Below are 16179 nucleotides of genomic sequence, written 5' to 3' on the forward strand. Positions count from 1 at the left end.
CCACCAGTCAGGTAGGAAAGAGGGCTCACTAAAATACTAATTAGGCTAAAAGCAGGAGGTAAAGAAATAGTCAAATCATGTATTGCCTGAGAGCACAGGAGGAGGGGCACTGATTAGGATATCAACCCAGGCATTCGAGCAGGGAGGGGCAACCCCCTTTAGGTCCCCTCCCATTGTATGGGAGTTCTGTTTTCACTCTATTATATCTTGCAATTGCACACTCTTCTGGTCTGTGTTTGTTATGGCTCGAGCTGAGCTTTTGCTCACGGTCCACCACTGCTGTTTGCTGCTGTCGCAGACCCGCCACTGACTTCCACCCATCTGGATCCAGCAGGATGTCCGCTGAGCTCCTGATCCAGTGAGGTGCCCATTGCAACTCCAGATCAGGCTAAAGGCTCGCCATTGTTCCTGCACGGCTAAGTGCCCAGGTTCGTCCTAATTGAGCTGAACACTAGTCGCTGGGTTCCACTGTTCTCTTCCATGACCCATGGCTTCTAATAGGGCTATAACACTCACCGCATGGCCCAAGGTTCCATTCCTTGGAATCTGTGAGGCCAAGAACCCCAGGTCAGACAACAAAAGGCTTGCCACCATCTTTGGAGCGGCACGCCACCATCTTGCGAGCTGTAAGGACAAAGAACCGCCGGTAACAACATGCAGGCACACACACATACACACATACTCATATATATCGATATAGATATAGGTATATAGATATAGATATCTATATCTATATCTATATCTATATAGATATATCGATATATATGAGTATATATAAGTGTGTGTATATGTGTGTGTGTATGTGTGTGTATATATATATGACTATTATTTCAAGCTAGTGAGGGAAATACAGCGCGTTAAGTCATATTGGGGCATTTCATTATTGATTTGAAAACAACTTTGATATTTGTCTTATATCACACAAAATCAACTTCTGGATTGGTTTTTAAAGCTTAAAAAAATCAAAAGAAAATATAATGTAATATTTCTATTATATTGGGGAATAAAAGGAAATAAAGGTAAAAATGTTAGATTTGAAGTGACAGAAATTTGAAATTTCTGTATGAAAAAGATGTTTATTATGGATAAAGTTGAAAGACAAAATAGACTGGAAGAAAATATTTCAATCAGATTATGGAAAAGGATTAATACCTGGATAATAAAACTACCTTATCAAAGCAACAAAATACATACAATACAATAAAAATACAAGTAAAGCTTATCAATAGCCAATGCAGAAGAAAAGGAAGAGGAAGAGGAAGAAGAAGAAGAAAAAGAAATAATACTAATATTAATAGAAATGCCAGATAAAGATTGGTAAGATTTAGCACTGTTAAGGTTATGAAAACCCTGTCACTATCATTCAGTGTTCCTGGAAATATAAATTTATCCAGCTTTTTGATGAGAAAACTAAAAGTGCACATATGCTTTGAAACAGCCAGTCCACTTCTAGAAATATATGCAATAGAAGGATTTTTATGTAGGCACAATAATATATTCACAGGAATTCTTGAGGCATTTCTATTAATACTAAAAAATTAAAAACAATCTAAGTGTGCATTAACAGGAAAATAATTATATTATGGTACATCTACACCATGGGATACACATGTAAAAGGCAGGAATTGAAATTACAGCAAAATGAAAATCAGATATCACGAGACCCTTTGCTAGATAAAATACAACTATCCATTGAAAGGCATAGTTGAACTTGGAAGAAAGTAGGAAATTTTCACAGGGGCCAAAAAGATGAATTAGAAAACCAGAATGTTAAGCAAGCCCAGAATGTTCTGAAGACATTTGTTTAGAGTGGAATTTGGAGATAGTGAATAGGTGACAAATTCTTGGGCCTGTGTGGGATGGGGAGCTGGAACTGAGGCTTCACGATAAAATGATTCATTGTGGTAGATCTTCTGTGAAAGAATGTGCTAAACATCTGCAACTGATAGTTAAGGAAGATGAAAAAGACACTTGTTTGTCTCAGACTGGCCCTGAGGGGGAAAATTAAATATATGTAAACTTCTTCACATTAATCAGAAAACCCTGATATAGTCCAACAGAAAAATGGGAAAAAATACACGCAATTTTCAGAAGAGGAAACATGAATAGCCAATAAGTATACAAAACAGGCTTAATTCCCCTAGTAATTAGGAAATTGCAATGTAAAATCAAAATGAAATATCCGTCAGATTGGCAAACCATTACAGGTCAGAGGATACCTATTATTAGAGTATCAGAACTTATGGTGGGAGAATACAATGGAACAACTACCTTGCACAATAATATGGCCATAACTAGAAAATTAAAGATACAATATCCTATGAATCATCAATCTATTTCTACATTCATACCTTAGAGAAACTCCTATACAAGCACACAACGATGAATTTACAAGAATAATAATAGCATTTGTAATAGCAAAAAATTATAAACAACCGAAGTATTCAACAAGAAAAGAATGTATAAATTATGATATAATCAAATAGTAGATGACATATTGCAGTGAAAATTAGGAAACTAGAGGACCCAGATTATCCTTACAACATAATTTTGAGTGAAAAATTGAAGTTGTAGGGAAATACATACACTTTGGTACTGGATAGGGATAAAGTTTAAAAACATGCAAAATAATACTGAATTCAGCTCAGAAGTATATACATTTCTATTTGTAGGAAAAAGTAGAAATGGATGGGTTTAATAGATGCATTTAGAAAAATTATTATCTTGGGTGGGGCCATGGGAAGGTCAGGTTGTTGTGGATACAAAACATGGAACAAAATTTAGTGACTGGTGATAGGTAAGAATGTAATAAATGTTGACACATTTCAGAATATTTTCAATCTTTCCAAATGACAATTATGTAGATTACACATCAACCTGGAGAAAAATTTTGATACAATTAATGAAAACAATGCAAACTAGAGATATGTATATTATGCTACATTAAAAAATGCAGGCGCATGTAGATGAAGGTTGAAAGGTATCAAGCAAAAATGGAAATAATTCTGTTAGAGTAGTCTGATTAATAAAAATTATCTTTAATTTTGATATATCATTTTTCAATTCTTAATCTTTTTTTAGATTCACTTAAGAATCAGATAAAAACTTCCAAACACTATAACTATTAATCTGATAACTCAATCAAAATCAAAATAATCTGTCATTCAGAACTTTTACAGCTCAGAGCCACTAAAATATGCAAAAGGTCTGAAGGAGCTAACTGAAGCACCTGTAATTTTTGTTATGGATAAAGTATATATGGCAGATTGTATTATTTAAGCAACTTTTATATCAATTTGAAATTTAAAAATAAAATGCTAAAATATTCATGTGGAAAAAGTAAATACAGAGTAAATATTCTAAAAAATAAAAGCAGTGAGAATTATTGAAATGTATATTAAAACATATTTTAAAGCTTCTGTCATCAAAAGAATATGATACTGGAGGCAAATAACTAGACTTGATGCTTGCTACTCAGTTGGGAACAATGGAATCAGGAGCTATACCCAACCATTTGGTGAGACTACTGGTCTCAAGGTGGTTCAAGTTAGCTGCTTCAGACCTTTCACATATTTTAGTGGCTCTGAGCTGTAAAAGTTCTGAATGACAGTTTATTCAGATTTTGACTGAGTTATCAGATTAATACTTACAGTCTTTGGATTTTTTTTTTTTTATTCTTAGGTGAATCTAAAAAGTGACTAAAAATCACTTGGCATTAAAAAGGCTACAGAAGCTCTGTCACAGCTCCCTAAGTCCTGGATATCCCCACCACTGTGCTTTCCCAAGTGGTCATTGCTTCAGGCTGCCCTTTCCACATGCAGTTCTCATTCAAATGCATCTAGTTGGCATAACCTGGGCCACATTGCCCACTTACTAGGGAGAAGAAAGTGTGAGAAATTTAGTATTTATAAATCTACTTTGGGAGAGTGGGACATACAATATCAAGATATCGAGGAGATGTTTAAATTTGCTGGTCAATCAAGAATATAGATGGTCATCTAGTTCCTGACTCAGGAAATGACTATTCTTATAAAGGGTGTCCACAAAGGGACACCAAGGCTTGGACAGAAAGATGGCATAGAATTGAATGAAGAGAAAAGTCCAGAGAAACTAGACTAAGGGGTCTCAAACTTGAATGTGCATTGGAATCACGCAGAGGGTTTGTTGAAGCACAGATTGTTTGGCCCCAGCTCCTTGTAGTTTCTGATGCAGGAATCCTGGGGTGTGACAGAAGATTCTACAGTTCTCATAGAGTCCCAGGTACTCTTGATAATGACAATCCTAGGCTCACATCCTGAGAATCACTGAACTACTTAGACCATACATATTTCCTTCTGCAATAGCTGGTTTTCACAAATTTGCAAATTCGAGTTTTCACATGTTCAGTCTTAATGTCAGATTGAATGTTGGTAGCAAAAGTACAGTATAAATTATTAGTAATTTTATATTTTTTGAGTAAGTTTACTTAAATTGAAAAACGGAACATACTGGCACATGAATAGATAGACCATTGTAAGTAATAGAAAGTTCAGGGCTGGGCATGGTGGCTCACACCTGTAATCCCAGAACTTTGGGAGGCCGAGGCGGGCAGATCATGAGGTCAAGAGATTGAGACCATCCTGGCCAACATGGTGAAACCTCGTCTCTACTAAAAATACAAAAATTAGCTGGGTGTGGTGGTGTGTGCCTGTAATCCCAGCTACCCGGGAGGCTGAGGCAGGAGAATCGCTTGAACCAGGGAGCCGGAGGTTGCAGTGAGCTGAGATTGCGCCACTGCACTCCAGCCTGGCGACAGAGCAAGACTCTGTCTCAAAAAAAAAAAAAAAAAAAAAAAAAAGAGATAGGAACTTCAGAAACAGAGACAGTATATACAGAAAACAGTATATACATGAATTAAATATAGAAAGTAAATATAAATGTGTATATTAAATTGCTGTGAACAGGATAGATAAAACGGTTTTGGAAAAACTGGATAATTTTGGAAAAAATAGAGTCCATATTCATAGTATGCATTTAAATAAACTCCAAATGGATCATCAATTTTAATGAACTCATGACTTTAATAGATTCTCTTTCCTAGCTCTGTCCACTGAAAGGGCCAGGATGCAGTGACACGTTGCAAACAAGGTTATATTAGTTTCCAAATACTGTTCCCATCAAAAGGGCAGGACTCCCTGGAGTATTACATGATTCCAGGTCTTGCATTAGATGAACATGAAACATCTTGTGCCAGAAAGCAAGGAATTGCTGAAAGAGTGATGGGAAGATGTCAAAAGAACATAGGAACGACCACCTGACTGGCTAAATTTGAGACAATGTGAAAATAAAAAAAACGACAATGATAGATTATAGAACATTGAATATCCAGAAAATAATGACAAGGACCCTCAGACTAATCCAGATTGTAGGACATTTCCTAAGACAATTGATCTGAACTCTTCAAAAAATGTCAACGTCATGAAACACTGAAATGACAGTCACTGAAATGACAGTCACTGAAATGACAAAAAGGCAGGACACTGTTTAAGTTAAAGGCAGGACACTGTTTAAGTTAAAGAGGAATAAAGAGACATAAAAACTAAACAGCATGTGTGAACCTTGATTGGATCTTAGATTACAAAACAGAGCTATAAAGGATATCTTTGTAGATAATCAGGAAAATCTGAGTATGGACTGTGTATTAGAAAATATTGTATCAATGTTAAATTTCTTGGGTATGATAATGGTATTGTGTTTATTTAAAAGAATGTTCTTGAGATTTTCATGAGATGTAAGTAGTGATGAGGTGTTACAATATCTTTAACTTACTTTCAAGTGGTTTTTTCATGAAGTGTACATGTCTGTCAAAGAGAGGGATACCAAGAGACAAAGCAATGTGAGAAGATGTTAGCAACTGGTGCATCTAAGTGAGGATATATGCTGTTCATTGACCTGTTCTTTCAATTTCCTATAGCTTTGCAATTCTTCAAAATAAAAAGTAGAGAATAAAAATAAATAGTATTATTAAATAATTAAATTACCATTTATATGTAAATAATATTCATAGATCATGCTATTATGTCAGATTCTTTATAAATTAAGGCAAATGTAAGAAATAAATGTACGAGCATATAAAGGAATAAATGATGTAAGTAGAAACCATCTGTCTTCTTACTTGGTAGATGAAGACACAGATCCATGAATAAATTATCTCCCCTAAGGTCACCCTCTAATATGTGTAAGATTCCATTTCTGGGAGCTTTATATGGCAACTGAACATCAAATATGGTCCTTTGAATACTTGAAATTTTCTTTTCAATCTGTTGGTTTGAAGAAGCACATTGTATTACACCTTATCAAAGAGAACAGGCCTTTTGAGGATTTTGTTTTTCTTTTTATAGCTGCTATTTTTATCTCACATTTCAGTAGGGATTGAAATATCAGTAGGGATGCTTTCTGTTTCTCAACCCAGTTCTTTATAGAGTGGTTCTTAACCCATTTCTTCATAGGTGGTTGGAAGTCCATTAGATCTGTGGAATAAAGTAATAGAGATGCTGAAACGAACAATAAAGCCAGGATGTTAAAATAGATTCTAGTCAAAACTTAATATTTTGAAAATGTACATGGTCCTCTGTTCCTCTGAGTTAAGCAAGGATTCACTTTCCAACCATGGATCGTCACGGATCATGATATCATACATCATTATCACTACCACCTGCCTGGACAAGGAAACTGTGTGACACCACTGATTGTTCCAGCAGTGCAGTTGGAGTGCTGGCTCCATTTCTTGCTCTGCTTCTTACTGGCAGTGTGACTTGGAGCAAGTTACTTAGCCTCTCTAGCTTCAGTTTCTTCCGGGGAAACTGAATGGAAATAACAGTATCTAATTGACAGATTTGTTGAGAAGATTAAATGAGAATGGTCATAGCACAGGGCCTTGTATATAGTAAACATGTAGTTTTTTTTTTTTATTAAGCTCTATATTATTAATTAGATGTTTCTCAAAAGACTAGAAAAAATTTAAATGGTTTCTGTTTTACAGATCTCTCTGACCTTTCTATTTTCACATTTACATATTATGATGACTTAACTAGAAATTGTCGCCCATAAAAACTAGAAACTTTTAATTTAATTAATTTATTTATTTAGAGGTGGAGTCTCACTCTGTCACCCAGGCTGGAGTGCAGTGGCATGATCTCGGCTCACTGCAACCTCCACCTCCCTGGTTCAAGCAATTTCCCTGCCTCAGCCTCCCAAGTAGCTGGGATTACAGGAGCCTGCCACTGTGCCCGGCTAATTTTTTTGCATTTTTAGTAGAGATGGGTCTTGTTGGCCAGACTGGTCTTGAACTCCTGACGTCAGGCAATCTGCCCACCTCGGCTTCCCAAAGTGCTGGGATTATAGGCATGAGCCACCGCGCCCTGCTGAAACTATATTTTTGACATGAAAATACATTTAACAAAATAATTTCTGTCTGCCATGCTTCCAGAATTTTTATTTTGGTCATGTGCAATTGTTTAATATATGTTTCTTCTTATATATAGATAGAATCTATTAAAGTCATGAGTTCATTGAAATAGATGATCCATTTGGAGTTTATTATAATGCATGCTATGAATATGGACTCTTTCCAAAATTATCCAGTTGTCCCAACGCCATTTTGTCTATTTTGTTCACAGTAATTTAATATACAAATTACTATATACTTTCTATATTTACTTGAATCTAATTTCTGTATAAAATATATAGGAAATATTATTGTGATATATAAGCCAAAGTTAGGGTTTTTTTTCAGACTTTTATATGGAAACTGGTGCTAGTAATGCTTTTATTCTCACATTTTTTCTGTGGAGTAATTTCATATTTGATTGGCTTTTACAATATGTTTAAGGATTTGGAGTTAAACACGGACATTCAGCAATGAAGATTTAGGGTTCAACAAGAATCACTATTAATCTGACTTCTTCCCATTTCTTTACTTCATATAAAATCAAACTGCACGTTGGCTAATTTGCTCATTCTTCTCTAAGTATTTGTCAAGTGGCTGCTATGTTCAGTGTTAAGGGGAAAAATGTAAGGAACAGTACCTCTTCTCTAGGAACAACCGATATAATTAGAAATATAGATTATACACATAAACATGTATATAAGAATGGATGATAATATATAAATGGCCAAAATGAGTGGTGTAGGTGGGTGAAGGTCAAAAGAGCCAGAAATGGTCAGGAAGAGACCCCCGTGGGCTTATGTTAAATGAGTTACTTTTTAAAGAATGAGCAAGAATTATCTGGAAAAGAAGGGAGAAGTATTTCTATGTGAGGGGAACTGCATGATCAAAGACTTAAAATGGAGACTTAGGCCAGGCGCGGTGGCTCACGCCTGTAATCCCAGCGCTTTGGGAGGCCGAGGCTGGAAGATCACAAGGTCAGGAGATCGAGACCATCCTGGCTAACATGGTGGAACCCTGTCTCTACTAAAAATACAACAAAAATTAGCTGGGCATGGTGGCGGGCACCTGTAGTCCCAGCTACTGGGGAGGCTGAGGCAGGAGAATGGCGTGAACCCAGGAGGCGGAGCTTGTAGTGAACAGAGATCGCGCCACTGCACTCCAGCCTGGGCGACAAAGCAAGAATCCGTCTCACAAAAAAAAAAAAAAAAAGAAAAAATGGAGAGTTAGCTCAACATGTTGTCAAAATAATGAAATAATAAGCAATCTAGAGTGTAGGAAAGGTTTTTGGAGTAATCAGAGATAGGTATTGGAGAGAGATATTACAGAGCATCTTAGCTAGAGAAATCATGTATTTTGCCCTGAAGGAAACAGAAAGCTTTAGAGGATATTCAGCAGTGGGATAACTGATGAAATAATATTTTATGGAAATTTAAAATGTGTTGGTATAATTAAGAGGATGGAGCAAAAGAAGCTGGGAGCAGAGAAAACTGATAAAAATATGCTCTGCATTTAGTTTTCCCAAGGAAGATGATGCTGGACATGTTGCATTTACCAGAATAGTAGAACACACACACGGGAATTCAGGGCTGCAGATAGAGCCTGAGTTATTATTCAGAGGTCAAGCTGTCTGATATAACCATTTCAGTGGGCCCAAATGCCAGACATAGTTTTGTGAAGGATCATAGCACCATCTGTTTTGCCTAATGACTCTGGATTGGAAAACATTTGATAAGGCATTAAATGTGCTGCCTAAGTAACTTAAAGGGGTTCATGTTCAATGTCCTTGCAACATGCTATTTTTAACCTTTGGAATGAATATTATGGGAATTTATGATCATAAAGAATATTCTAGATTCAAATGGAAAGACCACAGAAGCTCTTTATTTGTGACAGGTGGATTAATTAGGAAGTCAATGGGGGAAAATAGTGAAAGCAGAAGGTTTGGTGGAGAGTCATGTGAGCTTTTGTGGGTAAACTTTGATCATATCAAAGTTAGTATAGGAGAGGGAGTGGATTATAAAGGAGCTTGACTTTTCGAAGGCCAACTATGCATTAGGTGTAATGTCCTGAAATCCAAGTTTAGGGCTGCACATTCTTGGATCCAGGCGAAGACTGAGCAAGGCTGGCTCACCAAGTTTATTGCAGCTGTGAACAGGCATGGATCAGTGGCTTCGTCAAAAGCAAATTATCACCCACAGGGGCACATGGAAATGGGGACATAAAGGGAAGGGCGACTCTTCTCAGTCGGCTGGGGAAAGAGGGATATGATTGCCACCTGATTTGGTAACCAACCTGACCCAGTTAGTATTCTTGTGACAGCCTGGACAGTGAATCTTAACACAGTCCTGGTCAGAATACTCACTGGACCTCTGGGGAAGTGCCAAAGAAGATACTCTTAGTCTTCAGCGGCTTCTTGATCCTTACACCATTTGAAGTCTGAGATGGAGATCTGAGCATAACAGCTTCTCCCTAGCCTTCATATTCCTACCTTCTTACCTGTGATCTTTTAAGGCATCCTTTTCTCTTGGGCGACAGTACTACGTTGCCCTTGGGAGAGGGCAGGGGAGGGCCTTATCTTTCAACAGTTCTGTTTGGGCATTGGTCCACAACATTTTCTTGGCTTAACTTACATGTGTTACTGTGCTCAGTGCTTTATATACGTTTCAAAACTGCTAGGGAATTACAATGTGAAACACCTGGTAATTTCAGTTAGAATTTGAAGCCCACTGGGGATTTGGCTGACAGTTGGGGAACAAACATTTACAGTGGGTCTAGGGAAAGAATAACATTTGAGGAATTTGGTGATAGCTAGGTCATTTTCTTTGCCTTAAACTACTTAAAATAAAATGATTTATGTGTGGACTTTTCTTGGAGGTGCCAAATATGAAGATAACCTCCAAGGAGTGATTTTCTAATGAATAGGAAGTCTTTCCATAAACAACCTATCTCAGTGGAAATATTGTCCTTGTTGAGAGAGAAACTGAGGAGAACTTATGTCTCAGTGTAAAAGTCATGGTGATTTTTCTTTTGGTAATTTGTTTCCTGGCCTGAGAAAATATTTGCATATAAATATGTAAGGAAAATTATAGAAATGGAGCTGAAATGTATTTTCTCTGAATACGTGTTAATATAATACTATTGAAATGCAAAGATCTGGTTGTCTGAATACAATACTGAAGTATTCCTAGACCCCCCACCTCAAAACTGGTCAATATTTATTAAAACATATCTTTAGGCTGAAGAGCAAAGAAGAGAAACAAGTATCAATAGAATGGACTTCTCATTGTTTGCAAGTGTGTGCATGTGTGTGCTTTCTCTGGAGATACTCTTCCTCCTTAAGAAGAAATGTTATACTTATTCCTCAGAGGCTTATTCTAAGGGAATGATGAAAGCAAATGGGAACATTTATGTGTGGTTTGAGTTGTTAATTTTGTTAAATATTTGCATCCCTGCCTATGGGTTCCAGAAGAAAACAGAATGAGCATGTTTAAATAAATGAATAAATTAGAATAGATGAATTTAGATGACTTAATCTTATTAAAAATTCGGGATATAGGATAAATTGTAAGCAGAACATGGATGATTTAATTTTTGTTGTCTACAACGGGAGAATATTTCACTCCCTGATCTTGCTGTCTTAGAAGGGTATTAAATGCAGTGTAGAGCTTTTGGGAAGCAGCGTTGAACCTGGATATTCCACTCACTTGCCAATATTTTATGACCGAGCAGATGTGTACACAAATCACACCTGTTCTAGTCCCAGAAGCTCTGCTTCAGTCAATCACTTTAAAATAACATCTGTCTCTAAGATACAAAATGTACTAAAGAATCTTGAAGGCTGGACAATGAAGGTGTCAGCAGCTCCCCGACCAAGGGCACAGCTGAAACATATGGTCACATTTTCCATGCTTTCATGGGAGTCCAGGGAGCACTCAATGACAAATCAATGAAAACTTCTCATGGACGGGAAAGTGAGAAGCCCAGAGAATGTGTTGGGAGGACAATAAGGCACATCTTGCTCTGTGGATGCTTTTCTTTTGCTGCTCTGTTCAGAAAAATCTTGAAGTAGTAATGGCCTTTTGCGATATAGTAACAGCAGGTAAATCTTATTTTGAAGTCAAAATTGTTCTCTGAGAAGGTGAAAGGTGAAATACTTGGCATTAACTGTTTTGATTGCTTTTAAAATATTTTTGTGTTTGTCTGGCACAAAACAGATACCATAACCTAGAAGAACAGACTGATACTTTTTCTGTAATGATTTACTAATAAAGTGAGAATTGCCTGGTTCTATAACTCACATCCCTAAGCACCATTGTTTGAGTTGGATCCTGAGTATTTAAACAATTCTGAAGAGATTTCTTCACAGAACAATAAACAGGTTTTGAATTTATGATGGGCATTGTGTAATCTGGGTTCTGACAGATCCTTGTACTTTTCTTCTCTGCACATGGCCACATGTTATTTCTGCTTTGTAAAAGTAGGCTGTTTTGTATAAGGTCAGAATTTACTGTGTTCTCTTTGAACACAACACAGTGATTTTTCATTGCATTCCTTGCAGTCACTTAACAGTTAATTGTTGATGAGAGCCACTGTCTCTATTGTGTCTGGCTTTTTAATCCACAGTAGCCACATTTACGGCAGTGCCCATAGTTACCCAGCTGATGATCTCTCACCGGTAGCTACTGTTCTTTGTCATAAGTTTCACTTCCTTTTTGTTGTCAATTGTCCTTTCCTGTATCACCATTGTAAACTTTTTGATATAAAGAGAGCAAGCTTAGATCTTTTTAAAAAATAATTTTTAAAATTTTATTGTTTACTATTTATTTACCTATGGCATGCATAAAGAAAAATGAATGTACTACAAGTGTGAATACTGTATGTAAAAGTTCAAATGAACACACCCAGGTAACCCGGATCCGGATAGGAAAATGCAGTATTGCCAGCACCACCTTCAGATTCTATCCCCAACTACCATAGATAACGACAGCTTTGATTTCTAGGAGCCTAGCTTAGCTTTGCATGTTTCTGAACTTTATTTAAATGTTTGTATGTACAAACATTTTGCTTGTATGTAGTTTAGTATGTTTATTTTCATTGCTATATAATATCCCATTTTTTTCATCCATTCTAGGGTTGGGCATTTACACAGTCTGTAATGTTTAGCTAATATGAAGAGAGTTGTTACTCACATTCTAGTAAATGCCACTTGATGAACATATGTATGCATACCTCTATGAGTGGAGTTGCTAGATTATGTGTATGCTTGATTGTAGAAGTTTTAAAAAGTAATTAATCAAATTAGGCTTTCGGAAAGACTTTCTCACAGCAGTGAAAAGAATGGATGAAAGAATGGTAAGAATAATTTAGATGAGGAATGATAAGAATTTGAACTGATGATTATCAGTGAGATAGAAATAAAAAGATGATTATGAGAACATTTGCATGGGAAAATAACTGAACTTGATGGCCTCATTAAACACGGGGTGAGGTCAGTATGACTTCCAGATGATGTCATTCATAGAGATAGAGAATCTCCTTAAATTAACATTAATATGCATCCAGGAAGTTGTTCTTGTTTATTTTGGAGATGAAGAAGTAGGACTGATACAGATAATACCTAATAAGTGGCTTATTTCCTCCAAGATGTAAGACTTATTCTTTAAATAGCCAAAATAGTGCCTGGATTCGTTTACCAAATGCCATGCCTTCTAATAATTGTTCCCAATGACACCTACAGAGTGCTTAAAGAGAAGGCCTTGTTTAAGTCTACCTCTGTCATTTAGAAGTTACATGGATTTGGGCTAGTTAATATTTAAAAGGCATTTTTTTTTCACATGTAACACAAGGTTAATAATATACATCTTGCATAATTCAATGAGATCAAGTATATAAAGTTTCTTTTAATGCCTGGCACATAGTAATTTTAAATGATAGCCATTATTATTGTTACATTTAGTCATTACATCTTAATGCTTTTTAAAAAACTATTCATATTCTCAAATAAAGAGATGAGGCCACCTTTCTCTTCTCCACATCCTCTCAACAAATTTACCCTAAAATCTGAACATTTGGACATTAAGTAAAAACTGACATTGTATTTAGCAGCTTTAAACCAGGCTTGACTATTCCACCCACCTCCAGGTAGTTTCTAATTGAAAATAAGGATGTAAGCATGCTTAGATCTTAATACGAATATATTCCAATTTTATCCAACAAGCTTATCCTGATCTTTTATTAATAAGTATCCTACAATTGCTTTGTAGGATCTCAAAGTTTGCACCCAAGACGAATCATCATCCATAAAAATTCCACTATATCTTCTTGGCTTTTAAGGTATAAAACTCCACTTGTCTTGGAAACAAATTGTACAGAGTAGAGTCTGGAAAAAGCTACAACTTTAGTTTTACAGCATGGGGATTATTACTATTCACCATGTGTACCTACATCTGCACAGGAAACAAAAAGACTCAGCACAGCCTCAGCTTCCAAATTCTGAAACATTTTGTGAGACTCCATAAAAGCAATGATGATCTTGGGATCCAGCTAGATCTGTTTTTCGTGGGGTCATTTCCAGGAGCAACAAGCAAGACCAGGGGTCTCCTTGTCCTTGCTGCATCATGTTCGGATCTGCTAAATGCAGTGCAAGCTGTTGAAGGAATTTTGAGGATGAAAATTTTGAATATAATGTTGATTTCATCATTGAAACTGTCAGGATAACAGAGGAATACTTTCGTAAAGCCTTTTAAATCTTCAACTATTTGTTCCTAGGCAAAGCATCCCTTCATTCCTGTCAGTTTCTCTGTCCCCTCACTCCCTTCACATACAAATCCCATGTATCTTTGTATTTATGTAATGATTCAATGAAATAAAAATATTATAGCAGTTTTGGCTAATACTATTATAAAGTAATGTTCATTATCTGTAAAAGTTGACGGTGATATATGCCATTCACAATTCACTGACTTTTCTGATATCTGCAAAGGACTTGGGGTTAGATCTGGACTAGAACATATTACTCATGTGACTATATTCTCTGGTTTCCAGGCTATAGAAAATTGTATCACACGACTATGCTTTGTTCTCTGAAAAACAGATGGAAGGGACACTATTTTTTAAATATCAGACTGATTTTGGTGGTTTATTTTCATGTGGCTTGCAGTAACTGAAGGAAGATGAACATGTTTTAAGATGTATGTGTCTCATTATACTGATTTGAAGACTCTGTAGGCATGTTTTGTTTGCTAAAACACTAGGAAAGATGAATATACACATAACAACAGTATAAAAGTGGTAAAGGCAGAAAATTCTGAGGTTGCCTCCAAATGCTTGTCTCATGAGTCTAAATTTAATATCACCCTTAAGCATTACAAGGAATAACTTTGGGGCTAATGCTGCTCCAAACTGCAATAGCATACCTTGGCAAAATCATCCCCTTACCACCACCCCAGCCATGATATCCTTCATACATTTTACAGTTCTTTACACGAGACATGAAAATAATTAAGATGAATAGAATCTCAGAAATTCTGTTTACTACAGATGTTCAGAGTAGAGGAGTCTCTTTAGGCTGAATTTATTGGCAGTGGAGGGGGACCTATGAGTCAGACACTGGTAAAGTGTACTGGGGAGTGTAGTGGCATCCAAGTCCATTGGTTTGTAGCCACCACTAGGGTGCATTTCTTGAGAATGCTGTCATTTTCCCCAACATGGGCCTCTGGTCATGTTGCCCTCTTGATCACAGACATCAGGATGTGGTGTGTCCACTCATTAAGAAGTCAGCGGAGCAAGCTCTATCAGTTAAATATTGAAAATCTGTCCTATAACTAAAGCTATATTCTGTTATGTTGTTTATCTGTCTATAGCAAATCCATGATTTCCCTATAAATTAATAATTCTACAAAAAATCAAGAAAAAGGCAGAGAAATTTGTTAAAAGGAAAACCTTACACAAATTAAATTCAGCAGAGTTTAATTGAACAAAGAATAAAATTGGTTAATCAGGTAACCCCCACAAACCAGAAGAGGCTCAGAATGACTCAGGTGTTGTCTCATGGTCTAAGAAAATTTATGAAGAGAAAAAGGAAAATGACAAAAGTGAAGTATAGAAACAGCTGGATTGGTTACAACTTGGCATTTGTCATATTTGAACATGGTTTGAACAGTTGGTTGCCTTTGGTTGTCGGAAACTTGGTGATTGGTACAAGAGTAGGTTACAGTCTGTTTATACATCCAATTAGGTTACAGTGCACTATATATGGAAAAACTTTAGGCCAAACATAAAATATGTAAGGAGGTAGCTTTAGGCTGAACTTAACAGGCTGAATGTTTTGAGTTTATTTTAGCATTGGTTTTCATGAGGACCCTGATTTCAGTGTCGGTGTCTTTGTTTTGTTTTGTTTTGTTGTGCTATTTTTTTTGGCTTGCTGAAAGCATCCCTCTGTTATCCTGACAGTTTCAATGATGAAATCAACATTATATCCAAAATTTTCATCCTCAAAATTCCTTCCCAGCTTGCACCGCAGTTAGCAGATCTGAACATGAGGGAGCAAGGGCAAGGAGATCCCTGGTCTTGCTTGTTGCTCCTGGAAATGACAGCACGAAAAACAGATCTAGCTGGATTGTAAGAACATTGTTTCTATGGAGTCTCACAAAATGTTTCAGCATTTGGAAGCTGTTGCAGAGCTGGGTCTTTTTGTTTTCCGTGCAGATGTAGGTACACATGGTGAAACAAAACAAACTGAATTTGTTTTC

Source organism: Homo sapiens, chromosome 6, assembly GCF_000001405.40.
Source record: "Homo sapiens chromosome 6, GRCh38.p14 Primary Assembly".
In the NCBI taxonomy this organism is placed as follows: domain Eukaryota; kingdom Metazoa; phylum Chordata; class Mammalia; order Primates; family Hominidae; genus Homo; species Homo sapiens.